The following is a 26671-nucleotide window of genomic DNA, read 5'->3' as shown; positions in this document are numbered from 1 at the left end:
ACTGCAATGCGTTATTTTTTTTCCCACGTCGGATTATGCACGTTTTCAAGAAGAAAAGTTGAAAGTTTTACAGTGAACATTTTACCATTAACTTTTTATCATTAAAATTTTACTCTGTCACACTACGCCTCGATCCATTCATCGGTCTTTATTTTTTGATACATTTCCAAGTAAGTCATATTGCATTAATTTTTATTTTTTTGAAAAGACTTTCGTCGTATTTAGGATGAAGTGTGAGTGCTGCTTAAGTTCCCAGTACTGTGTTAAGCACACTTCAGACTTTATTACATGGAATCTTCCAAAAACAATGCTGTAATTATGCCCATTTTACAGATAAAGAGGCAGGAGTTAAGTCACTTGGCGGAGTTAATAGGCAGCCCCACGTATAGGTAGCTTATATTTCTTTCTTTCTTTCTTTTTTGAGACGGACTCTTGGTCTGTCGCCCAGGCTGGAGTGCAGTGGCTCAATCTCGGCTCACTGCAGGCTCCGCCTCCCGGGTTCACGCCATTCTCCTGCCTCGGCCTCCTGAGTAGCTGGGACTACAGGCGCCCGCCACCACGCCTGGCTAATTTTTTGTATTTTTAGTAGAGACGGGATTTCACCGTGTTAGCCAGGATGGTCTCGATCTCCTGACCTCGTGATCGCCCGCCTCGGCCTCCCAAAGTGCTGGGGTTACAGGCGTGAGCCACCGCGCCCGGCCGGTAGCTTATATTTATTTAACCACTTTATTTCTGACGCCGTGGATCAAGAACTGTGCATCAGATCCTAGGAAACCTTGTTAACAGGCAGATTCCCTTCATCCCAACTGCTGGTATTGGTCTCAGGGGAGCCACTGACTTGGGCCGTTTGCACTTTCCAGTCCTCTCACTTTATATCCTCAGGCACCATTTCCTTTATCCCTTCTCAGCCACGCATTCCCGTGATCATACTCGGAACTTCACCATTACCAGAAACATCAATGTCTTAGATTCACATACTTCTCTGTTATTCTTTCTACTTGCCTGGTCAAGTTTCACCATGAGGAGAATACTTACACAACCAAACAATAGATGTATTTTAAACAATCTCTTCCATTCCTCTTATCTTAAGCCCTCACTCCAGGTAACTATCACATAATCAAATATCTGCAAGGGTCAGGCAGGTGCCTTAAGTAGAAGATATACTGGGTGAACTGGAGATCGAATATTCTATCTGAAGGGGCAACTGCTAGTCAACTGTAGCTGAATATTCCTCTCCAGAAGTGAGGGTCCACTGTGGGGGGATCTTTCAGTTTCCAAAGAGAAATCTGAACTCCAGTTTCTTCTTTTATGGGAAACATTCTTCTCTCTCTTTCGTCTTCTTTAAGATGGTCTCAGCTATATTTGGAACCTCCATATAAATTTCACAACCTGCCTACTAAGTTCCAGGAAACTATGAGATCTTAATTGGCGTTGCACTGCATTTGTACAGAATTACCACTTTATAACACGGAGTCTTTCCATCAATGACCCCACTTGATTTCTCACTTATTTAGGCCTTATTTTATGAATTTCAATAAAATATTATAGTTTTCTTCATAAAGGTCTTACATACTTTTGGGGATTTATTCCAAAGTACCACGTGGTTTGACTGCTATTGTAAGTGAAATTATTGTAAATCAGAAGTTACATATGGTTTGTTGGTGTCCGTTAGAGGAAACACGATTGAATTTTGTGTACTGACCCCATATCTGGCAACAAAGTTGAAACCTTAAAAAATTTCCAGTGGTTTTTGGAATCTCTTTACTTTTCTGTATTGCCAATCATATCGTCTGTGAATAATGAAGGTTTTGTCTCTTTTTTCAAATCTTATACTTTTTCTTGTCTTACTGCACTAGTCAGGAACTCTCATATAATCAACGTATTTTGAGCATTTTTGTTTTGTGTTGGACTTTAAAGGCATCTGTCTGTATTTTGAAAATATTTGACTTGTGGATTAGGTTCTGGCTCCATGTCCAATTTTGCTAATCATATCTTCTTCTGTTGTACAATTTCATTGGTATGTGTAGGGCCATCCTTTTGGTCAGTTTCATTTTTTCCAGGTCAAATTTTGCAGAGATTATTACATCAGGAGCTACAGGGGCCAGGCAGGTACCCTGCAAGGAGAGCAGTCCGGATGGGCACTGAGGCCGTATGGAGAGAGCAGCTCTGGAGGGCTGTGCAGATGATAAGAAGGAATGTCTAGGATCTTGTTATGTCGAGTATAGCAGGTGTCTCCACAAGAACCACGGCATCTTACCCAGTGACAACAGTAGGGATTGTGGGTTTAGGATGCTGTGCACATTTGCCACAAAGCCAGCACATCAAATGACATGGATGGAAGCCCGAGACTGCCTGCTCAGCCTAGTCCACCTCTCAGCAAGATGTTGATGGAATCAGAGCCCAGGTTGCCATTGCTGAGCCTGGAGCCAAGCAGGCCTGAGAGGCCCTCTATCACATTTATCACCTCACATGTGCAGGGAGGAAAGGCCAGCTCATCTTGCCCACCTATCCTGGGGGCAGGAAGTTCCATCAGGTGTTCGTGAACACAGAAATGCCACCTGAACAGGTGTAAGTGCAAATGGACCCCATCTGATTCAATCCCAGTTCCAACAGCTTTGTTACAGGTGATTGTCAGTGGCCCCTCAAGTGTGTTTTGGCTTTGATTAAGATGGCAGCATTTTTGCAAATGTTTTTATGTATTTTTTTTAAAAATTTGAAGTGGGGCCAGGTGCGGTGGCTCACACCTGTAATCCCAGCACTTTGGGAGGCCAAGGCGGGCGGGTCACCTGAAGTTAGGAGTTCGAGACCAGCTTGAGCAACATAGAGAAACCCCGTCTCAACTAAAAATACAAAATTAGCCGGTTGTGGTGGCGCATGCCTGTAGTCCCAGCTACTCGAGAGGCTGAGGCAGGAGAATCACTTGAACCCGGGAGGCAGAGGTTGTGGTGAGCCAAGATCATGCCATTGCACTCCAGTCTGGGCAACAAGAGCGAAACTCTGTCTCAAAAACAAAAAAAAATTGAAGTGGGAGGCAGTAATATTACTGGTTAAGTACCTGAGATGTGGGGCACAGGCAGCTCTCAGTGGGTGTCCATGCTGGGTCAGCATGTCTGATGAGGAAGGCTGTCTGACAGTGGCCAAGCTCTTCTTTGTATTAATCAAGGTACAGGTTAAGCTACTGTAACAAAGGGACTCTCAAATACAGGGTCTCAGACAAGGTGGAGGTTTATTTCTCTTTGATGAAGCAGCTCGGAATTTGGCAGGCAGTAAGGACAGGTAGGTGACTTTCTCCTGCAAGGTTGTCAGGGACCCACCCAGGTTCCTTCTATCTTGTTGTTCCTCCAGACGTAGGGTTCAGTAAAATGCTTTTGGTCTGCAAGTACCAGAAAACTCAACTCAAATTTGCTCACCCAGTAATGTGATTTCTTATTTAATCTCAAGTATTTTCTAGATAGGTGAAAGGTTAATTTAATTAATTAATTTCTTTTAGAGACAGAATCTTACTCTGTTGCCCAGACTGGCGTGCAGTGGCACAATCATAGCTCACTGCAGTCTCAAACTCATGGGCTCAAGCAATCCTCCCACCACAGCCTCCCAAGTAGCTGAGACTACAGGTGCACATCATCACATCTGGCTAATTAAAACAAAATTTTTTTTTTCTGAGATGTGGTCTCACTATGTTGCCCAGACTGATCTCAAATGCCTGGCCTCAAGCGATGCTCCTGCGTCAGCTTCCCAAGTAGCTGGTATTACAGGCACATACTATTGTGCCAGGCTAGGGTTGGTTAATTTAATGGCTCAACAGTGCTATCAAGGAAGAAGGTTTTTACATTTTCCTCTCTACCATTCACTGTATATCCTCTTTGGCCAACTCCCCTCACAGTTCCGCGATTCCAGGAATCCCACACAGATATGACAATGTCTACCAGCAGATGAAGGAATGTTTTTCTGCAATGCCTTTTTTTAAAAGTGTGATGAAAACCTTTCCCAAAAGCCTTTGAGTAGATTTCTCATCCTGTCTTCTTAGCCAGACTTTCATCATGTATCTATGACTAGACCTCTAACTGGAAAGGGAAATTGGCTCACCAAGTCCAGCCTCAGACAGTCATGACTATTGGAGCTGGGACTAGGACTAGGGCTGGACCTGGGGCCTGCCTCCATTAAGGCAAGTGCATACATGGACAAGATCAGGATCCAATAGTTGCGATGATGGGGAGGAATGGCTGTTGAGTAAGTCACTACCTGGATCTGTCATGTATTCCTATCTTTTACTTTTTTTTTTTTTTGAGATGGAGTTTCATTATTGTTGTCCAGGTTGGAGTGCAGTGGCGTGATCTTGGCTCACTGCAACATCAGCCTCCCTGCTTCAAGTAATTCTCCTGCCTCAGCCTCCCAAGTAGCTGGGATTACAGGCACCCGCCACCACGCCTGGCTAATCCTATTTTGTATTTTTAGTAGAGATGGGGTTTCATCATGTTGGCCAGGCTGGTCTCGAACTTCTGACCTCAGGTGATCCATCTGCCTCGGCCTCCCAAAGTGCTGAGATTACAGGCGTGAGCCACCGTGCCCGGCCTTTATCTTTTACTTTTTAATGGTTTCCTGGTACAGAGTTGCCCAGCAAGAGTGCTGTCATATGGTGTGCTCTGCAAATGAGGGTACCCAACACAGTGATTCCCTCAGCTCTAGGGTCAGCCAGGAGGGGCCTGAATAGCCAGAGTACCTGGGCTAATTGCTTTTTATCCTAGCAGCTGCTTCTATTTACCACAGTGCATTTAAACACATTCTCCTGTGATTTTTAAGAGGCAGAAAAGGTTGGGAGCTCTGACATGGTATTCTATAGCAATGTTCCCCTATTGAAGTTTAAGTGATTTAAAATTATTGCTCCCGCCCAATTATCTTTTAAACTGGAATTCTCTTTTAAATCCGTGCTCTATCTAGCAAATCTGGTGTGTAGAGAGAGAATTGGTGTAGGGCAAGGGTGGGAACTAGTACTTTAGTTGGGGTACAAAAGGAAAGAGGGGTGTGTGTGTGTGTATGTGTGGTCCTATTCCAGATATACGTTGAAGTTATTGCAACAGGATCTGCTGATGGATGTGGGATAAGAGATGAGTTAAGGATGATTCCAAGAAGAGAGATGCCCTATTTTAAGTTCGGGAAAAATGTTTCTGGAAAAATATTGCACATTAGAGTTGCTTATAAGGGGCCCAAGCAGGCAGTTGGATGTACATGGCTGGAATTCAGGGGGAGGATGGAGACGTGAGTCTGAGAGGCATCTGGGTACGGATGGTATTCAAAACCATGAGACTGGAAGGGAGGGGGCTGGGACTGAGTCCTGGGATACTACAATGATAAAGGGAGAAGAGGAGGAACCAGCAAAGGAGACTGAAAAGGAGGCAGGAAGCAACTCAAGAGTGGTTTCCTGGATACTAAGTTAAGAAAGTGTTTCAGGGGAGGGAGTGATCTGTTGTGTCAAATGCTGCAGACAGGCCAAATAAAGGGAGGACCTAGAAGTGACCATGGGGTTTAGCAAAGTGGAGGTCACCAATGATGTTGACGAGGGCAGTTTCAGTGGGGAGTGAAAGCCTGATTGAGAGGAGGGAAAAAAATGGGAAACAGAGTAGGCAAACCTCTCTAGGAGTTTTGCTTTAAAATGAAGCAGAAATGGGAGCTGGCTGGAGGGGAAGTGGTTTGTTTATTTATTTAGAGATAGGGTCTTGCTCTGTCAACCAGGCTGGAATGCAGTGGCTGGATCGTGGCTCACTGCAGACTGGACCTTTCTGGCTCAAGCGATCTTCCCACCTCTGGCCTCCCAAAGTGCTCTCATGCTTATATGCATGAGCCACCGTGTCCGGCTGTGGACAATCTTTTTAAATAGAAGAAATTTAAAAATACGTTGGTATACTGATGATACAAAGGAGAGAGAAAAGAGGAGGAAAAAACGGGGAGAACTGCTCGGCCAATATCTTTGAGAAAACGTGAGAGGATAGGATTCGGTGCATAAATGTAGGAATTGGTCTTAGTAGGCAGTTTATACGTAGTTACGGGAGGGAGGCAAGTAGGCGAGTAAATGATGCCATGAACTTGTGGGTTTACTGATTCCCACAATTTTCTTAGTAAAATTGGAAGCAAACTCATTAGCCAAGAGTGAAGATGGCGAAGGAAATGGTGGAAGTTTGATGAGAGTGGAGAAATATGATATCATATTTTAGGATTATGGGCAGAGCAAACTGAAGGGAATTTGAAAATTGAAAAGCGGGCCGAACTAGATTTTGCCTTGAGAGGTTAGTCCCTTTAGGCGCTCGGTAGGCGGCGTCGCGTTTCCTTGGAGACCGAGACGCTGGCGAAAGCATCGGGTCTCGGGACTTCTGAGTGGCCTGGGTTACCGCGCGATCTACACTGAGACAAGGAAGTTGGAAAAGCCGAGTAGTTATACCAGAAGATCAGGGTCTCACAGACTCGCAACTTCTCTTCCATTTTCCCCAATGGCGCATGTCTTACAAAAGTAGGTAAAAAAAAAAAAAAAAAAAAATTGGAAGAAAGGCGGAATACGCATGCGTACTTCACACCCCGCCGCTGTCCCGCCCTCGCCTCGAGGTCGCCCTCGGTCTTCTGACCCCCGTCCTCTCCCCGCCCACATCTCCTTGGCCCCGCCCCACTCCCGCGGGGCTATTGTCCCCGGTAAACTGCAGTTTCTGGTTCGAGACTCCAATCCTGTTTCGAATTGCTGCTTGCTGCCCCTTGGGCTGGGGATAATGGAAGTTCTTTCCCTTCCCAACTCTTTCCAGACCCAAGCACTCTGGGACTCACTCCATAGTCCAGGAGTTCCAGGTTCCGGTGAGTCTTGGGGGACTAGGGCTGGGGTGGGAGGCTCGCTGGCCCTGCAGTCCACCTGCTCTCCACTCTCACGGTCGTGACTGCTCCGCGGATATAGGCTGGAGACCCGAATTCCAGTCCCAGCCGGGTCACACTTTGCTGTGGGACCCAGAGCAAGCCTCAGAACCTCATTTTTCTCCTCTCACTGTCTTATCAGAATGTAAGGGTATATTATGCTGCTCTCTTATTCATCTGATTGCTGCTCTGGTTTCCTGAGGGTGGATGTCTGCGTCTTTTCCATGCCTTCTGTTTCTCACAGTTCTTAGCACCTCACAGCCTGGATGTGCTTAGTAAATTCTGGCTGGCTGATTTAAAAAAGTGATAGCTAACATTTATGGAGCACTTACCACATGCTTCATAAATATCTCTCAGAATTCTTGCGCCAATCCACAGAAGTAGGTTTTATTATTAGATCCACTTTACAGATGAGAAGATTGAGGCTCAGGAGAGGTCAAGTCACTTGCTTGGGGTCACAGATATCTGAAAAGGGTAGAGCTGGGATATAAACTCATGGTGCTATGTGACTGATTGTATATTTTGTAGGATTATGTTCCATGGCAGCAGTCCAAGCAGGAAACCAAGCCATCTACTCTGCCTCCAGTCCAACAAGCCAACAGCCTTCATACAAGCAAAATGAAGACTTTGACTAGGGTCCAACCAGGTGGGCGGAGGCACCTGGGAGCTGGTGTGGGGGTTGGAGACAGGATAGAGTGGCTGCTTTTGGCTCTTGGTGACACCACTTATATTAGGGTAGGCTAACTGATGTAATAAACAATGCCCAAATTGCAAGTATTGATATAGAAGTTTATATCTCATTTATGCCACAGTACATTTGTGGATCTGAGGAAGGAGGGATTCTGTTCCACATGGTCATTCAGGGATCCAGGTTCCTTTGACCTTGTGGGTCTGATATTTTGTAAGGTCTTGAAGTCTTCTGCTGGATACTTTTGCATCCAGCTGGCATAGAGGGAAGAGAGAGAACAAGAACATGGACAATTATGTGGGCATTTTTTTTGGGGGGGGTCCAGATTTGAAGTGACAAATGTTACTCCTACTCATGTTTCAGGGGCCATAATTTAGCCACATGACCTCTGCTAACCACAAGGGAAGGTGGGAAATGTAGTCCATCTGTTTTTCCAGGAGGAAAAGAAAACAAGGTTTGGTGAAATCGTAGAATAAACTCTGCCACATCATTATCATGCTTTACAGGGGAGTTCCGAGGCCTTGGGTCAGGCTCAGGCAGACATGGGGTCAGATTTTGGCTCTGCCATTTACTCACTTGGAAAAATCATTCATCTCTCTGAGCCTTGGTTTTCTCATTTGTGAAATGGGGACACTAATACCACCTAGGATTGTTGTGAGAATTAATAACAAATATTTTGTAATATTTCTTTGGTATCCTGAAATGAACTTCATAGACAATCTAGCATACTTATGTATACATCTATGTATAAAATCACTCATACCACCTCATTGCCTCTGAGTAAGTAATGTTAGATCAGCTCCCCTGTGGGCAACACTGAAACACAGAAAGGAGATGGGAGAGTAGAATGCCAAGTTGCCCTGCATCTCACTACCTTATTTTACCTCACTGATGCTGGGTGGGGATAGAGGCTCAGGCTCCCACCAGGCTCTACTGACATAGGTAGGCTGGGGGAGGGGAGTGAAGCCCAGAGGTGATGAGTCCCACCTCATGACACTTCATGAAATCTTGTCACTGCTAGACTCTGTTGACACTACCCTAGAGAGAGAGTCAGAGCACTGTCTTCTGCCAGGTGGGGGTTAGAAGATGACCTCCCCACTCATCCCTGCCAGCACTATCCCAGTTGGGGAATCAGCACCACCAAGCAGGGAATGAAGGATCAGCTACCTGCTGGACACTGCCAACACTTCCCAGTGAGGAAAAGGGAATAAATCCATACCAATATTCCCAATGGGTTTTTCAGAAAGTGGAAAAACAATTCAGTGGAGGAAGAAAGCCTTTTCCATGGGTGGCGCTGGAGCAATTGGACACCCATAGGCAAAAAAAAAAAAAAAAAAAAAAAGAAAAAGAAAAAGAAAGAAATGATTTAACAACGAATATAAAAATTAGCTCAAAGATAAAATAAAATAGAAATTAAATGTAAAATGTGAAACTGAAAAACTTTTAGAAGAAAACAGGAGAGAAAAATCTTTGGGGCCTAGGGCCAAGTGAAGAGTTCTTAGGTATCACACCAAAAGCTTGACCCATAAAAGAAAAATAGATGAATTGGACTGCATCAAAATTAAAAATTTTGTTCTGTGAAAGACTTTTTTTTTTTTTTTTTTTTTTGAGAAGGAGTCTCGCTTTGTTGCTCAGGCCAGGGTGCAGTGGTGCGATCTCAGCTCACTGCAAACTCTGTCTCCCGGGTTCAAGCGATTCTCCTGCCTTAGCCTCCCGAGTAGCTGGGACTGAAGGCGTGTGCCACCATGCCTGGCTAATTTTTGTATTTTTAGTAGAGACAGGCTGGTCTCGAACTTGTGACCTCAAGTAATCTGCCCGCCTCAGCCTCCCAAAGTGCTGGGATTATAGGTGAGAGCCACTGCACCTGGCCTTATGAAAGACCTTTTTAGGAGGATGAAAAGACAAGCTATAGACTTGGAGAAAATATTTGCAAACCATGTATCTGACAAAGGACTACTATGTAGAATATATCAGTAACAGTAAAAACTCAACAGTGAAACAGACAATTCAGTTAGGCAATGGGAAAAAGACATGAAGAGACATTTCACCAAAGCAGATATACAGATGTCAGATAAGCACATTAAAAAGATGTTCAACATCATTAGCCATTGGGGCAATGCAAATTAAGCCACAGTGAGATATCACTGCACACCTATCGAAATGGCTAAAATAAAAAAATAGTGATAACACCAAATGCTAGCAAAGAGGAGACGTCAGATTGTGCGCAATTGCTGGTGGGAAGGTAAAATGATGCAGCCTCTCTGGAAACAAGTGTGGCCATTTCTAACAACATGAAACATGCACTTCCTAGTAATCCGACCCAGCAGTTTTACTCTTGGGCATTTATTCCAGAGAAATGAAAACTTATATTCACACAAAAGCCAGTATGTGAATGTTCATAGCAGCCTCGTTCATAATTCCTCAAAACTGGAAACAACCTTGAAGTCCCTCAGTGGGTGAATGTTTAAACAACCTATGGTGTATCCCCACCGTGGAAAACTATACAGCGATAAACAGGAAAGAACTATTGATATATTCAACAACTTGGATGAATCTCCAGAGAATTATGCCAAGTAAAAAAAAGCCAATCCCCACAGTTACATACTGGATGATTCCATTTATATAACCTTCTGGGGATCACAAAATTATAGAAATGGAGAGCAGATTAGTGATTGCAGGGGTTAGGGACAGAGTTGTGAGGAGGGTGGTAAGGGGAGGGAAGTGGGTGTGGTTGTAGAAGGCGACAGGCAGGATCCTTGTGGTTATGGGAAAGTCCTATATCTTGCTCATCTTAATGTCAATATCCTGGTTGTGATATTGTACCGTACTTTTGCAGGATGTTGCCACTGGGAGAAACTGGGTAAAGGGTACATAGACTACCTCTGTTTCCTTTTCTTTCCTTTCTTTTTCTTTTTCTTTTTCTTTTCCTTTTCCTCTCCCCTCCCTTCCCCTCCCCTCTCCTCTCCTCTCCTTTCCTTTCCTTTTTTTCAGACAGAGTCTCTCTCTCTCTCTGTCTCTCTTACCCAGGCTGGAGTACAGTGGTGTGATCTCAGCTCACTGTAACCTCCAACTCCCGGGTTCAAGCGATTCCCCTGCCTCAGCCTCCCAAGTAGCTGGGATTACAGGCGTGCACCACCACACCTGGCTAAATTTTGTATTTTTAGTAGAGATGGGGTTTCACCATGTTCGCCAGGCTGATCTTGAACTCCTAACCTCAGGTGATCCACATGCCTCAGCCTCCCAAAGTGCTGGGATTACAGGCGTGAGCCACCACGGCCAGCCCCTCCGTATTATTTCTTAAAACTGCTTGTGAATCTGAACTATCTTGTAATAAAAGATTTAATTTAAAAAAAGATAAATTAGGGCTACTACCAATAATGAAAATAAATCCTCATTATTAAAACTGCAAATCTTCCTTAAGCATTTAAATTCAACTTAAGAATCTTACAATTTTTATAAACACTTGTAAGGGGGTTTTGGAACTTGGTTAATTAAATTCTCCTAAACCTTTTAAGCCACATCTTAAATTTTAACGTATTCATTTTCATTTTCAAATGGTTCACTTGTCTGATTAACAAAAACCATTGGGTATTTACATAATTCTTGTATATCTAATACTTAAACTTCTAAATATGGGTAATCTGGCCGGGCGCGGTGGCTCACACCTGTAATCCCAGCACTTTGGGAGGCTGAGGCAGGTGGATCCCCTGAGGTCAGGACCAGCCTGGCCAACATGGCAAAACCGCATCTCTACTAAAAATTAAAAAATTAGCTGGGTGTGGTGGCGGGCACCTGTTATCCCAGCTATTCAGGAGGCTGAGGCAGGAGAATTGCTTGAATCTGGGAGGCAGAAGTAGCAGTGAGCCGAGATCTCGCCATTGAACACCAGCCTGGGCAACGGAGCTAATAAGAGTGTATTAAACCTTTCAACTTAAATCTAAATCAAAATCCCACTTACACTTTTAAAATTAGAATCACAAGATTAACCTATTAATCATTCTATCTCTTATACAATACAACTAAAAACCGGATATATACAGGTAATTTATAAATTAAACACAAAATTAATTTACTTAATCATCTCCATAGTTAATGCCAGCATTTCTCAGGATGAAGGACATTGATCTATTAAAGAGATTAGTATCTCTCCCAGATGAGCTGGGTTGTACCTGAAGCAGGGATTTTGGTGAGGACTGAGAGTACAGCTGGATCCACCTGGGCGATTTGTCCCATGTCATTGCACGACAGGCAGAGAGGAAACAGGGATTCTGAGAATATGCCCCCCAAATGCCTGTACTCTTATCTGGCAGAACCACAGCCCTTAGAGTGTTTCAGAGACAGCCAGTTGGAGTTTTGCGTGGCTGCTGTGCCTTCGTCTGGTGTTGTGGTCCCACTTCTCAGGTCACTAGAAGTAAGAGTAACAACTGGTAATGTGTATCCAGCACTGAATATGCATCAGGCACTATTCCAAACACCTTTAAGGTATAGTAACTTCTTTCATCTTCAGGAAGACTCTATGAGGTGGGCGTGATGATTATTCCCATTTTATAGGTGGACGAATGGAGGGACACAGAGGTCATTTGACTTGCTCAAGGTCACGCAGCTAGTAGAAGGCAGAACCTGGAATTTTTAAAAATTTATTTTTATGATTATATATATTTTTTGAGATAGAGTCTCTGTCACCCAGGCTGGAGTGCAGTGGCGGGATCTCGCACCACTGCAACCTCCGCCTCCCGAGTTCAAACGATTCTCTTGCCTCAGCCTCCCAAGTAGCTGGGATTACAGGCGCCCATCATCATGTCCATCTCATTTTTTGTATTTTTAATAGAGACAGGGTTTCACCATGTTGGCCAGGCTGATCTTGAACTGTTGACCACAGGTGATCCGCCCGCCTTGGCCTCCCAAAGTGTTGAGATTACAGGCGTGAGCCGCCATGCCTGGCCAAGAGCCTGGATTTAAACTTGGACTGTCTGGCTCATTAGTTCTTGCTCTTAACCCCTACCCCATCAGGCCTTCTGCCAGCCAGGTTGGTGGGACAGCAGGGATTTGGATTCAGGCCTGCCAGACTCTGGTCTTTCTGCTGTCCTGTGCTGCAGTAGCTACTGGAAAGACACAAGGAGTGGGAGTTCCCGACTCTCTTTCTGACTGGACATTTGAGAGCGGGGTTCCTGGCTGCCCTGCCCTCCCCTCTGTCCATGTCCATAGTTACTGCTTTCACCTGGGCTTGTCCCTCCCTCATATTGAGGCCCAGAGTCTGTCCTGGGAGCTTAGTGAAGGGTGTGAATTTCACCCTCGGTCTAGTGTCACATTATAAGGCAGTCAGAGGGTGGAGCTGGGGTCTGGCCCTCCTCTCATTAATGGTGCACTCCCGGGAACCTGGCCTCAGGCCTTCCGGGACCCTCACTCTCTCCCTGTCCTTTCCTGTCTACCCCTAGTGTTTCACTTCAAGCCCACTACGGTGGTGACAAGCTGCCAGCCGAAGAATCCAAGAGAACTACATAGAAGGCGGAAGTTGGACCCTGGGAAGATGCATGCCAAAATCTGGTTAATGAAGGTATGAGGCACATCTTCCCTGGACACTGGGCCCAGGACAGGGACGGGGATGATGGCTGTAGCAAACATGTGCTGAGAACTTTGTGGGTGCCAGACTTGACTCATTTCTTCCTCACAGGAACTGTGTGAGCACGCTTATCCTTGTTCCTATTTTACAAACCGGGAAACTGAGGCGCAGGGAGATAAATGACATGCACCAGGTCACACAGCCAGGAAATGGCAGGATCAGGGGTCAAAGCCAGTTAAACAAAGCGTTTGCTGTTCTGTTTAAGACTCAAGAAATAATCAGAATTGCTTGTTATTTTGTTGCATTAGGAACACGATCTAGTGGCTTATTTATCTTAAAATTTGCAGCAACTTGGCCGGGTGTGGTGGCTCATGCCTATAATCCCAGCACTTTGGGAGGTCTAGGTGGGTGGATCATTTGACGTCAGGAGTTCGAGACCAGCCTGGCCAACGTGGTGAAACCCCGTTTCTACTCAAACTACAAAAATTAGCTGGGTGTGGTAGCACGCACCTGTAGTCCCAGCTACTCGGGAGGCTGAGGCAGGAGACCGGCTTGAACCTGGGAGGCAGAGGTTGCAGTGAGCTGAGATGGTGCCACTGCACTCCAGCCTGGGAGACAGAGTGAGACTTCATCTCAAAAAAAAAAAATTCCAGTAAATTAAATTTTCTTACAGTGTACTTTGAAGCAAGCCTTAGAAACTGACAATGAAAATTTTCACATCAATCGCTACAATTGTAGGTAATTAATTTCCTCGCTATACATTGTTTTATGGCTTCTGTAATTATCTGAACAATGTCTCAAAGTATTTGAAATGCCTAAAGGAAGACAAGTCCTTAGCATACATAGCAGAAAGTAAAATACTAAGTATTATAAAGACTACAAAATACTATAGAATAATTCTTCAAGAAAATTTTTAATAGCTCAATGAACAATGACTACTATATAAAGAACAAGGGAAAATATAATTTGCTTTGAAACCTTTTTTTCCCCTTTAACCTTTTATCTTGCAAAATGGTTTAGAGGTAGCCCAGTATTCTTAAAGGAGGAACTCATATTTCTCTTAGTTTTTAAAAAAATTTTTTTTTGAGACAGAGTTTCACTCCGTCACCCAGGCTGGAGTGCAGTGGCAAGATCTCAGGTCACTGCAACCTCCACCTCCCAGGTTTGAGTGAGTCTCCTGCCTCAGCCTCCTGAGTACCTGGGATTACAGGCGCCCACCACCACGCCCAGCTAATTTTTTGTATTGTTAGTAGAGATGGGGTTTCACCATATTGGCCAGGCTGGTCTCCAACTCCTGACCTTAGGTGATCTGCCCGCCTTGGCCTCCCAAAGTGCTGGGATTATAGGTGTGAGCCACCGCTTCCAGCCATTTCTGTTATTTTTATCCTAACTTTAGAGGGGTTTAGGTGTTTTTGATTGATGTAGAAGCTGAACGTGGACAATTTGGCTCTAAAACTTGTGCTCCTAACCAGTCCAGTTCTTAATACTGTCTCTTGCAATCTTTCATTCATTTAATGAATCAACAAATATTGATTGAGCACCTACCATGTGCCAGGTTCTATTCTGAGTATGAGGGTTCACCAGTAATGTGACCTCTGATCTTAGGGGACTTCCATTCTATTGGATGGGGGAGACTGACAATCAACAAGAGAAAGATATTTGAAATGATGATAAGAGCTAAAGAGAAGCCTAAGAATAAGGTTAGGGGGCTGGAGGCACGGAGGAGAGTGTGGCAGTAATTGTTTAGGTGCTAACGAGAGGCTGCTAAGGTGGGTGACATTTGAACTGAAACCCTAGTGCTGCTGTTTCAGTGGGCCCAGGACTTGGAGAATAACATTTTTCACAAGATACTTCTGGGTATTTTGGTCTGGAGATGTGGAGACAAGGTAGTGGAGTGGCTAGGAGGCAAGACTTCAAGGATGACAGCTCTGCTATGTGTGACCTTGAATAAGTTACTGAATTTAATCCTTGCTGTCCACATTGACTGATTGAGACAGGGTCTCGCTGTGTCATCCAGGCTGGAGCGCAGTGGCATGATCATGGCTCACTGCAGCCTGGACCTTCCGAGCCCAGGTGATCCTCCCACCTCAGCCTCTCGGAGTAGTTGGGACTATAGACATGCACTATCATGCCCAGCTAATTTTCGTAGAGATGGGATCTCCCTTTGTTGCCCAGGGCTCTAACTCCTGGGCTCAAGTAGTCCTTCCACCTTGCTCTTCCAAAGTGCTGGGATTACAGGTGTGAACCACTGTGCCCGACTGCTGTCCACTTTTATAAAGTTGGCCTAATAATAGTGCCCATCTCTTAGTCTTGCTGTGAGGGTGATGTGCTGCAGTGCGCATGAAGTGCTTAGTACAGTATCAGCCACATGGCAAGCACTCAGCACATCAGCATGATTACTGTTATATGAGAAATAAAGGAGCTGAGGGCTAGGAAGGGGTCGTTTTTAGTAAAGGACGGAGAAATGAGGAAGTACAGGAACAAATGAAAGAGCAAATATTTATGGCAGGGGTAGAGGGTTAGAGCCAGAGACAGTAGTATCAGCTATTGTTCACTGAGTGCACATGAGTGCACTCTCACTAAGTGGCTTGATTGTGAATTTAAAGACAGGGTCTTGCTCTGTCACCCAGGCTAAAGTGAAATGGCATAATCATAGCTCACTGCAGCCGTAAACTCCTGGGCTCAAGAGATCCTCCTGCCTCAGCCTCCCAAGTAGCTAGGACTATAGGTGCACACCACCATGCCCAGCGAACATTTTAATTTTTTAAAATTGTATTTATTTATTTATTTATTTACTTTTAGAGACAAGTTCTTGCTGTGTTACCCGGGCTGGAGTGTGGTGGCATAATCTTGACTTACTGCAGCCTCGATCTTCTGGGCTCAAACATTCCTCCCACCTCAGACTCCTGAGTAGCTAGGACTGTAGGTGTACACCACCACACCCAGCGAATTTTGTTTACTTTTTGTAGAAATGAGGTCTCACTATGTTGCCCAGGCTGGTCTTGAACTCCTGGCCTTGAGTGATCCTCCCATCTGGGCCTCGCAAAGTGTTGGGATTACAGGCGTGAGTCACCGCACCTGTCCAATCTCATTTATATTTTACGGCAGTTCTCTAAAACAGATACTAGTTTCCTTACCTTTAGAATGAGTATAAGGAGGCTCTGAGACATTAACTAACTTGCCCAGATTCTCTTAGATGGTAAGTGGCTGAGCTGGGATTTGAACCAAGGTGTGTCTAGGTTCAACATCCAAGTCTTAGTCACTACGTGGTTCAGCCATGCCTTGCAGTTTTAAGGCTACTCAGTTCTTGTTTTAGCATAACGGAAAGACAGACATTGGGATTCAGAAGTCTGGCTTTCCAGTTCCAGCCCTGCCACTTCTTGACTGTGTGACACTGGGCAAGTCATTAAACTCTCTGAGCCTCCATTTATCAGCAAAATAGAGTTAGTAAACATAAAGCTGTTGGAGGGTGAACAGATACCATGTGCCACCTGCAGAGCAAGGCACAGCACCTGGCCTGGCATGTAGAGGGCCCTCAGCAATTGTTGTTGTTATTGTTACTGTAGGTTTTATGCACCTGCTGGGTGTAACCTTAGGGGAGTACAATTGTTGTTGTTATTGTTACTGTAGGTTTTATGCACCTGCTGGGTGTAACCTTAGGGGAGTACAATTGTTGTTGTTATTGTTACTGTAGGTTTTATGCACCTGCTGGGTGTAACCTTAGGGAAGTACAATTGTTGTTGTTGTTGTTACTGTAGGTTTTATGCACCTGCTGGGTGTAACCTTAGGCGAGTCACTTAACCCTCAGACCCTCCTTGTTCCACTGGGGGCTGTTGTGTGAAATGAGAGTACTCATTGACTCCGCGGCCTGCCCGGAAATGCTGACGTTTATCATCCATTTTGCCTCCCCTGCTTCTCCTCCAGACATGGCGGTCGCTCTGCCACCTTCTTAACCTACCTGGGGCGTTTATTATTATTATTATTATTGGGACAGGAATCTTCCTCTGTCGCCCAGGCTGGAGAGCAGTGGCGCCATCTCGCTCACTGCAACCTCCGCCTCCCAGGTTCAAGCGATTCTCCTGCCTCAGCCTCCCCAGTAGCTGGCATTACAGGCACGCGCCACCACGCTCGGCTAATTTTTGTATTTTTAGTGGAGACGGGGTTTCACCATGTTGGTCAGGCTGGTCTCGAACTCTTGACCTCGTGATCGGCCCACCTTGGCCTCCCAAAGTGCTGGGATTATAGACGTGAGCCACCCCGCCCGGCCCTTACTATTATTTCTATATTTCATTGATTCTGAGAAGCCATTGATATGAAGGCACATCTTTATTTACCCACTAATAATATATTTGTTGATTAGTTGGTGACACGCCACCAACTGTAGATGCACCCGCACCTCAGGGATGTGAGATGATGGGTACACGTGCGTTTCCGAACGGATGAGAGTCCCGGAGCTCCCGGGCGGCGCAGACAATGGGGAACCGCCCAGCTTGGGCCGCGTTTACCAGCAGGAGGCCGCACGGGGGCGGGCGTCTGGCGGGGCCGGGGCGGCGGGTCCACGGGCTTTCGGGGGCTCAGGCCGGGCAGGGCGCAGCGCCGCCTCTCTGCTCTTCCCTCCGCCCGCAGACCTCGCTCAGGAGCGGGAGGGCCGCTCTGCGAGAGCTCCGAAGCCGTGAGAACTTCCTCAGCAAGCTCAACCGGGAGCTGATCGAGACCATCCAGGAGATGGAGAACAGCACGACCCTGCACGTGCGGGCCCTGCTGCAGCAGCAGGACACCCTGGCGGTGAGACCCGCGGCATCCGCCCGCCCTCCGTCCCTCCGTCCCAACCTCCGTCCCTCCCTCCCTCCCTCCGTCCCTCCGTCCCGCCCTCCGTCCCTCCCTCCCTCCCTCCCTCCGTCCCGCCCTCCCGCCCTCCGTCCCGCCCTCCCTCCGTCCCTCCGTCCCGCCCTCCCGCCGTCCCGCCCTCCGTCCCTCCCTCCCTCCCTCCGTCCCGCCCTCCCTCCCTCCGTCCCGCCCTCCCTCCGCGCACTCGCGCGCCCTCTCCTGCCTTTCCCCGCCCACTGCACGTGGTGCTTCCTCCACCTGGAAGACGCATTTCTTCACCCTTCACTCCCCTCACCTGGGCTTTGCAAGAGGACCGAGATGGGTTTCATCCCAGCGCGCCAGCACTCACTGGCCGGGAGACTTTTAGTTAACTTTGCCTCCCCGAGCTCTGTGAAATGCGGCACCATAGCACCCGTCCCAGAGGGGGTTCACCGGGCACATACTGTACCGGTGCGACAGAGGTCGCTGCTACCACCAACAGCATTTGCAAACACCTCTACGTGTAATAGCAAGCGATCTGTATGTCTTTATATAGTCCTTACAACAACCCTATGGGTGGACACTGTTACTGTCCCGATTAGCCTCTGGTCAGGTTTCTGGGAGTGAGGTTGGGACTGGGGACTCCTCTGAGGAAGTGCTGGGTGGCCGCCTCTGAGAGCCAGCAGAGCCTGTGGGTGAGTTGACTCCACCCCTCCCGCAGACCATCATCGACATCTTGGAGTACTCAAACAAGAAGAGGCTGCAGCAATTGAAATCTGAGCTTCAGGAGTGGGAAGAAAAGAAGAAATGCAAGATGAGCTGTAAGAATCCCTGGCAAATTCCTTGACCCTCCCCCCTGGCACCTTGGGGAGGTCAGCAGCAGAGCATTCACCTTGTACTTGCCATTCAGAAACCCTCAGCCCCATTGGCTCTCTTCTTGGCAGATGGGAATGCTAAGATACAGAGCGAATAGCATAGTTACCCAACACTTAGCTCTTTCCAGGCCCCGTATCTGGGTCTCTACCAATGTCTGCATTGTTACAGGCACACACTCAGTCATTGCAACTACTTGGAGGCAGGGAAGCTGTCCTCCCATTTTACAGATGAGGAAACCGAGGCTAAGAGAGGTGCAGTAGCTTGTGGAAGGTTATATAGCTAGGAGCCAGAATCCAATCCTAGCCTGGCTCTGTTTCCTGCCAAGGTCCTTCTGGGAGTCAGTGGCTGGGCTAGAACCTGGGTCTCCTGGCTTCCATCCTGCCTGGCCTGTGGTTCCTTTTCCCTGAGCAGACTACACACCTGCTGAGCAGAGGGGTGGTGGATCAGTCAACCCCAGACATTGGGGGTCTCTCTGGAGGAAGACAGGATAGACTTTGTCTTAATCCTGCCATGGGTTGTGTCTTGGGAGCCACTGTCACCCCATCTGCCTGGTCTCACTTCCTTGAGTGTGTCTCTGAGGAGACTGAAGTCTGGAGAGGGACAGTCTTGGCGAGAGCCACCCGGCAAGTCAGTGGCAGAGTGGGGACTAGTCTAGGGATCATGCACCAATTCCCTTCCTTTTTCCTACCCAGCATTGCCTCTTCTCCTGCAGGGGTGGAAAACCGTCTAGAGCCTTAACTTTTAACCACCTCCCAGCCCTGTGTGAGCTCACCTCAGCCCAGACCCCAGTTACTGGCCAAGGAGACCTTGCCTCCTGGGCCTCCTGGGGCCCAGGTGCTTGAGGGAAGGTCTTGCCTCCTGTCCCTGCTGACCTCCCTAACCCCTCCCCAGATCTTGAGCAGCAGGCAGAGCAGCTGAATGCCAAGATTGAGAAGACCCAGGAGGAAGTGAACTTCCTGAGCACTTACATGGACCATGAGTATTCCATCAAGTCTGTCCAGATCTCCACTCTTATGCGCCAGCTGCAGCAGGTTAAGGACAGCCAGCAGGTAGGGGAGCCCCTGCCCCTCTCCCACCAGACTGTGTGGGAGGCAGGACTGGTGACCAACACCCTTCTGCTGGCTCCCAGGATGAGCTGGATGACCTCGGTGAGATGCGCAGAAAGGTCCTGGAATCCTTGTCTGACAAGATTCAGAAGAAGAAGAAAAAAATTCTGAGTTCTGTGGTGGCGGTGAGTAGCCAGTTGCTGTGTGGGAGCGGGGATCCAGGTCTCACCCCCACCCCGCCCTCTTCCCCATCCTCTGCCTCCAGGCCCACTGCAGCCCCATCGGTCTCTACCATGTTCTGCTGCCCAGGAAGAGGCACCTGGGGGCCAGACCTCTTCTTCCTCCACAGGAAACCCAGCGTCCCTATGAAGAGGCTCTCCTACAGAAGATGTGGGAAAGCCAGGACTTCCTGAAATGCATGCAAAGGTTCAGAGAAGTGCGTGGGCAAGGAAGGTGGTGGTCCCTGTAGGGAAGCAGTGGATGGGCAGTCCCCACGGCCTGTGGGAATGAGTCAGGCTTCTCCTGATCTGGCGCTCAGGAGGTCTCTGACTCTGGTGTTGGCCTCCCTCCTTGCCGGTGCCATTACTGTCACTTGTCTTTCATCTGGGAAGGCGATTGGCACTGACCTAGGCCTTGCCTCATTAGCCAGCAATGCTGGCTAATGACCCATTTACAACCATCACCAAACATCACCTATTCAGCCATTAACCACCGTGCATCTTTACCCCTTGATTCTTGTTACTGCCCACCACCCATTATCAGTGTTAATGAACTTCACCATCACTGCCTTCTTGAATTAATTTTCATTATCTTGCCTCTTCACTGGTTTTTAATGTGTATGCCCTTCACTATCTCTGCCAGCCTCCATTCATTCCCATGATTGAGCATTCCCCGCCACTTTGTAACCTGTCTCCATTCTCCATGATCCCTCACCTGTTTCAGCACCACTGAATATTGTCACTAACTTGGAAGCCAGCCGCACCTTGCATGGGGAAGTCCCCTCCCTGGAGTCCAGCAAGTCCCAGTGACAGAACCCATACCATTTCCCCAGATAGCTTTGCTCCTCGTTCATTTTGGCCTTTCTCCCTTTGGTTGGGGGCCATTTGCCTCTCCCTTCTCCCCTGCTGTGCCTTTCCTCTCAGATTATTGACCAGTTTGAGGAGAACATGCCTGTATTAAGGGCCGAGGTGGAAGAGCTCCAAGCCCAGACCCGGGAACCCCGAGAGGTCATATTTGAGGATGTTCTGCTTCGGAGACCCAAGTATGTGATCTTTTTGCCACTGCCTCTTAAACCAGTCACACTCTGAGCTCACGGAGGCTCTCTGTTCTTGGGGAAGGCAGCCTGGTGTGGATGGCAGAACCCTGTACAGGGAGGGAGGGGCGGTCCTGGGTTTCCACCTTGGATCTGCCACTGACCAGGGGCAGATGTGACCTTTCCCATCTCTGCAAAGGCCTCCAATTCCCATCTGTACACAGCAGGCTGGGTGGTGTAATCTCTAAGGGCCCTTCTAGTTCCCAGATCCCATGTGTCAACCAAGTGGGTACAGCCTTCCACTTCTGGGTTTTTGAGGAAGGCAGAGTTGAGTGGGGTGGTTGGCTTCAGGGAAGAATAGCCTGGAAGACACTCTACAAGGAGAGAAGTCTGTCCTGTTCACTTGGCAGGTTTCTGGGCCCCAGAAACCAATTCTTTGCCTGCCCTTCCTTGGGGCAAGCCCTCTGCGGTTGGGTTGGGGGTCCCCCAGGCTTACCTCTCCTTGATGACACCACAGGACCATGTGTGGCAGAGCCTAGCATTTGCAAATTCTTTAATTTTTCTTCTTCATCTGTCTCTCCCTCCTGTCGTTTTCCTTCCTTCTCCTCTCCTATCGCCATTTCTTCCTTTTCTTCTATTTCTAAACCGCCCCCCGCCCCCAAAACAAAATACTATTGGATTTATGAAGTGCCTCTGAATGCCAGGCACCATGTGAATGAGAACAGTCCTTGGTCCCGCCCTCATGGAACTAAAGAGGGAACTGGACATGAGTCGATAATGAGCCACAAATAAATGTGGAGTTGCAGCAGAGCCCAGAGCTGCTGAGTAGAGTACATGCCACTGCAAAAGTGACTCTTAGGAGCTGGGTGCAGTGGCTCACGCCTGTAATCCCAGCAATTTGGGAGGCCAAGGCCGGTGGATCACGAGGTCAGGAGTTCAAGACCAGCCTGGCCAAGATGATGAAACCCTGTCTCTACTAAAAATACAAAAACTAGCTGGGCATGGTGGCGGGTGCCTGTAATCCCAGCTACTCGGGAGGCTGAGGCAGAGAATTGCTTGAACCTGGAAGGCGGAGGTTGCGGTCAGCCGAGATTGTGCCACTGCATTCCAGTCTGGGTGACAGAGCGAGACTCCATCTAAAAAAAAATTTTTTTTTAATTAAAAAAAAAAGAAAAAAGAAAGCAACTGTTAGGACAGCAAGTCTGGGCAGTCAAGGAAGGTTTTCCTGAGGATGTGACATTTGAACTGAGGCTTGAAGGATGCATAGAAATTCACTAGGTGAAAGAGACTGATGGGGGAGCTGAAGGAAGAGCAATTCTAGGCGGTGGTGCCAGGGTCTCCGGGGGACGTAATAAATAGTCACTTGTCTTTACCTGAACTCTGAACACAGTGAATGAGACTGAAAGGGGTAAGGTGCATGTGGGCCAGGTTATCACCTTTATTCTGGTAAAGCTGATTTTAGAGACTGTGTTGGCCTCTGAATAGTGAACCCAGAATTAGGCAAATTGAACCACCCGATCATGGTGGAGCTGGACCCACGTGGAGCCAGGCCTTGGGGCAGAGAAGAGTGGAGTCCTTTCGGGTTTCTTGCTGCTGAGAGAGAAAGGGACTGGGCTCCCTGTGTCCCCTTCCTCTCCTCACACTCACCATTCTGGTGGTCATACCCCCTTTCCAAAAGCAGAATTTAAGGGGGCAGAGAGAGGCCAGGAGCAATACACTCATGGATGCCCTTCCACGTGGAAGGGAACACCAGGAGCAAGGAAGCACATTTTCCCTCCTAAAAAGTAGAAATGGCACACTGTTAAGCAGAGCCTCTCCAACTGGAACATGCCCAGGAAACACCTGGAGATCGCGTTAAAAAGCAGATTCCAAGTCAGTAGGTCTCAGTGGGGCTCATGAATCTACATTTCTTTTTTCTTTTCTTTTCTTTCTTTCCTTCCTTCATTCCTTCCTTTCTCTCTTTTCTTTTTCTTTCTTTCTTTCTCTCTCTGTCTTTCTCTTTTCTTTCTTTTTCTTTCTTCCTTCTTTCTTTCTTTCCCCTCCCTCCCTCCCTCCCTCCCTCCCTCCCTCCCTTCCTTCCTTTCTTCCTTCCTTCTTCTTGAGACAGAGTCTAGCTCTGTCTCCCAGGCTGGAGTGCACTGGCACCATCTCAGCTCACTGCAACCTCCGCCTCCTGGGTTCAAGTGATTCTCTTGTCTCAGCCTCCCGAGTAGCTGGGATTACAGGTGTGCACCACCATGCCTGGCTAATTTTTATGTTTTTTAGTAGAAACGGGGTTTTGCCATGTTGGCCAGGCTGGTCTCAAACTCCTGACCTCAAGTGATCTGCCTGCCTTGGCCTCCCAAAGTGCTGGGATTACAGGTGTGAACCACCATGCCCAGCCTGATTCTGCATTTCTAAGAAGCTACCCGGTGATGCTTATGTTACTGCTCTATGAACCAACCACATGTTGAGCCTTGAGCTGTGAAGGAGCTATGGTTGGAAGGAACTTGGCATTGACACGGAGCTGAGTGAGGCCAGAGTGGTTGGAATGCAGAGTGACAGGGAGAGTGGCGGGAAGGGAGCAGGGCAACTCAGCCCCTAGGGACCTCCATGCAGTGCCCTGTAGGCCCAGATGTTCTGCCTGATCCCAGAAGCAAAGGATCTTAAGCCACATGATCAGATTTGTATTCCAAAAAAGTCAGTTTGAAAAGAGCATGGTGGGCTGGGTGTGGTGGCTCATGCCTGTAATCTCAGCGTTTTGGGAGGCCAAGGTGGGAGGATTGCTTGAGCCCAGGAGTTCAAGACCAGCTTGGGCAACATGGTGAAACCCCATCTCTACAAAAAATACAAAAGTTAGCCAGGCGTGGTGGCGTGCGCCTGTAGTCCCAGCTGCAGTGAAGGCTAAGGCAGGAGGATTGCTTGAGCCCTAGAGACAGAGGTTGTAGTGAGCCAAGATGGTGCTACTGCCTTCCAGCCTGCTTAATAGAGCAAGACTCTTTCTTAAAAGAAAAGAAAAGAGCATGGGGATGAGATTGGCAAGGAGCCAGAATGGCAGCTGGAATTCTAGTGGGTGTGAGGGCAGTTGTCCAGGGGAACATGGGAAGTGGCCTGGCCAAGAGTGTGGCAGAAGAAATGGGAGAAATAGATAGATTGGAGAAATATTTAGGAAAGTAAGAAGGACTTGCATGACTTGGGAAGTACAGGAAAGGGAGGTATCAAGAATAACCCCTGGGTTCCTGACTTTTATAATGGGGTGGTGGTGATGTCAAATGCAGAGATTGGGAAGGCTGGGGCGGGGTGAGGGATGTGTATGTAGGCACAGTCAAAAAGTTTATTTGGAGGCAGGCATGGTGGCTCACACCTGTAATCCCAGTGCTTTAGGAGGATGAGGAAGAAGGATCGCTTGAGGCTGGGAGTTCGAGACCAGGGGGACAACATAGTGAGACCTCCATCTCTACAAAAAATTAAAAAATTAGCCAGATGTGGTGGCACGTGCCTGTGGTCCCAGCTATTTGGGAGGCAGGAGGATCGATTGAGGAGTTCCAGGCTGCAGTGAGCTGTGATTGCACCACTGCATTCCAGCCTGGGTGACCGAGTGAGACCATGTCTCAAACAAAACAAAACAAAACAAAAACCATACAGTTGACTTGGACAGTAAGTTTGATTTATATGAGGTGCCAAGGTGGAGTCATTGGGTGGGCAATTGACAAGATGAGTGTAGACCTCAGAGGACAGATATTGGCTGGAAGTAGAAATTTAGGTGTTGCCAGCATAGAGATGAACTTTTTTTTTTTACTATTATTATGAAAAATTTCAAATATAAAGAAGAGAGAATGATATAATGAATAGCCAGTTTTGCCCATCTAGATTTAGAAATTTTTTTTTTTTCTATGTTGGTTTCATGTTCATTTTTTTAATAGTATTTGTAAATTGCAAGTATCCTGACATTTCCTGCCTAAATACTTCATGTGTATCAGCAGATTATTGAAACCATGAGAGAGGATGGTCTCCTTGGAAGAGAGAAAAGAGAGTGAAACAGAATGTAATCCTTCAGCCTCTTAAATATTTGTGCTGGTCCCTGCAATGGGGAATATATTGCTGATGGGAATCCATCTCTCTTGCTACTTTCATGGAAATAATAATGCCTGTCATTTACTGAGCACTTATTACCTGCTGGCATGGTCTCATTTAATCTTTCCACCAATGACTGAGGTTAGAATATTAAACCCATTTGACAGATGAGGAAACTGAGGCTCACTTGGGGTCTGGGACTTAATGAGTGCTTTTCACTTAAGTGCCAACTGAAGGAGTGAGGCTGGGAGAGTAGAAATAGCTTGCTCAAGGTGACACAGGTCAAAGTTATCAAACCTGTCATCCTCACTCCAAAGCCAGTGATCATCTTGAGGGCCCTCAGCATTTCAGAGCTGAGTTCCTGCTCCCTCTTGACCTCAGACTTGTCAGGGGAACATTTGTCCTGCCAAACTCATTTCTTTTCCATTTTTGATGTGTGTGTATGTGTGTGTGTGTGTGTGTGTGTGTGTGTGTGTGTGTATGCTTGTGTATGCACAGTTGGGCTTTGAGGTCACAGATAGATCACAGATTGTATTTTGGGATTGCCCCCCAACCCAAGTACGTACCAGAGTTCTAAAGAGCAGGGCTCCTCTGAGTGGGTGCTCCCACACCGCCACCTCTGGTCTCTCATGGCCTTCTGTGCTGCCTCCCACCAGGTGCACCCCAGACATGGATGTCATCCTCAACATTCCTGTGGAAGAGCCACTACCCTTCTAGATGGCAGTGCCATGGGCCGCCCTCCCCTCCTGCTCTCTTCCCAGCACCTGGAGCCTTGGATCATTTACTTCCAGGACCGGATCTCCATTCAGACCCTGATCTACAGTCTCCCTGCTCCCTCTGCCCTTCCTCCCTCTTTCTTTCCCTCCCTCCCTCCCTCCCTTCTTCCCCCCTTCCCTTCCCTCCTCCTTCCTTCCTCCTCTCCCTCCCTCCCTCCTTTCTTTCTTCCTGTGGTTTTTTCCTCTCTTCTTCCCTTCTTTCTGGTTGGTGCTGCTGGGCCAGGTGGGAATTTCTGATTAAATCTGCTATTCCTTTTTTACCAATAAAGCTGGATTTACATTTGCTTTTTTGCCAGTGTCTCGGGGTCCCCAGCTAGGTCTTGCAGAAGATGTGGTGGGAACGGACTTCGTCTTATGATAAGGGGCGGGCAACTGTGCTAACTGCATCTGGGGCTCAAAACTTCTCCAGAAGAAGTGCTGGAGCAACCCCCTGCCTGAGTCTCCATGGCTCAGTGGCTCTGGGCCACTCCCTCCTGGTGCAGTGGGAGCCCAGCTTCTCTCCAATCTGTGCCCAGACCTATTGAGGGCATTGTCGGGGCTGACAGGCTTATTGATTTTAATACCCCTGGAACTTGCTAGGCCTTCAGTGCTTGGAACAACTCAGAAGGGCTACTCTGGCTCCAGAACTTCCTGAAGGCTCAGCTGCAACTACCCTTGGGCCTGCACTGCAGCTGAACTTCTCCCTGTGCCCAATCCTGCATATTTCTGTCTTCCTCAGTTGTTGAT

The 26671-nt window shown here is 47.5% G+C and overlaps 1 protein-coding gene across 7 annotated transcripts, besides 2 other annotated features; it reads left to right on the top strand.

Annotated features, from left to right (window-relative positions):
* Nucleotides 1-6342: 6342 nt before the first annotated feature.
* C20orf96 (chromosome 20 open reading frame 96) lies at nucleotides 6343-26230 on the top strand. Of its 7 annotated transcripts, none has more exons than NM_153269.3 (11): nucleotides 6343-6502; nucleotides 6786-6834; nucleotides 7417-7534; nucleotides 13012-13130; nucleotides 17763-17921; nucleotides 18664-18763; nucleotides 19710-19867; nucleotides 19948-20049; nucleotides 20214-20300; nucleotides 21007-21125; nucleotides 25826-26230. In NM_153269.3, exons 1-11 carry the CDS (start codon nucleotides 6483-6485, stop codon nucleotides 25884-25886), a joined length of 1092 nt encoding a protein of 363 aa, NP_695001.2. In that variant the 5' UTR covers nucleotides 6343-6482; the 3' UTR covers nucleotides 25887-26230. The 7 variants fall into 7 exon arrangements, with proteins under 7 accessions (NP_695001.2, NP_542138.1, XP_047295855.1 ...); NM_080571.2 differs by having other exon boundaries at nucleotides 6343-6506; XM_047439897.1 differs by lacking the exon at nucleotides 6343-6502 and adding an exon at nucleotides 6563-6678.
* Nucleotides 6701-6830: an enhancer, noted in NCBI's record as "active region_17433". NCBI's record gives its function as "activates an Ori minimal core promoter by ATAC-STARR-seq in GM12878 lymphoblastoid cells {active_cell/tissue: GM12878}" and the evidence as "EXISTENCE:reporter gene assay evidence [ECO:0000049][PMID:35858748]".
* Nucleotides 6891-6960: an enhancer, noted in NCBI's record as "active region_17432". NCBI's record gives its function as "activates an Ori minimal core promoter by ATAC-STARR-seq in GM12878 lymphoblastoid cells {active_cell/tissue: GM12878}" and the evidence as "EXISTENCE:reporter gene assay evidence [ECO:0000049][PMID:35858748]".
* Nucleotides 26231-26671: the final 441 nt, after the last annotated feature.

The sequence above is a fragment of the Homo sapiens genome, chromosome 20 (assembly GCF_000001405.40).
Source record: "Homo sapiens chromosome 20, GRCh38.p14 Primary Assembly".
Classification (NCBI taxonomy): domain Eukaryota; kingdom Metazoa; phylum Chordata; class Mammalia; order Primates; family Hominidae; genus Homo; species Homo sapiens.
Note: the sequence above shows the minus strand (reverse complement) of the source record. Positions and strands in the feature narration are given on the sequence as shown.

Excerpts from the sequence above, each read along its gene's own strand:
- C20orf96 (NM_153269.3), top strand. The coding sequence starts at position 6,483 with ATGGCGCATGTCTTACAAAA. Across the intron at positions 7,535-13,011 it reads TTTGACTAGGGTCCAACCAG|TGTTTCACTTCAAGCCCACT; the intron begins GTGGGCGGAGGC and ends GTCTACCCCTAG. Across the intron at positions 17,922-18,663 it reads AGCAGCAGGACACCCTGGCG|ACCATCATCGACATCTTGGA; the intron begins GTGAGACCCGCG and ends CCCCTCCCGCAG.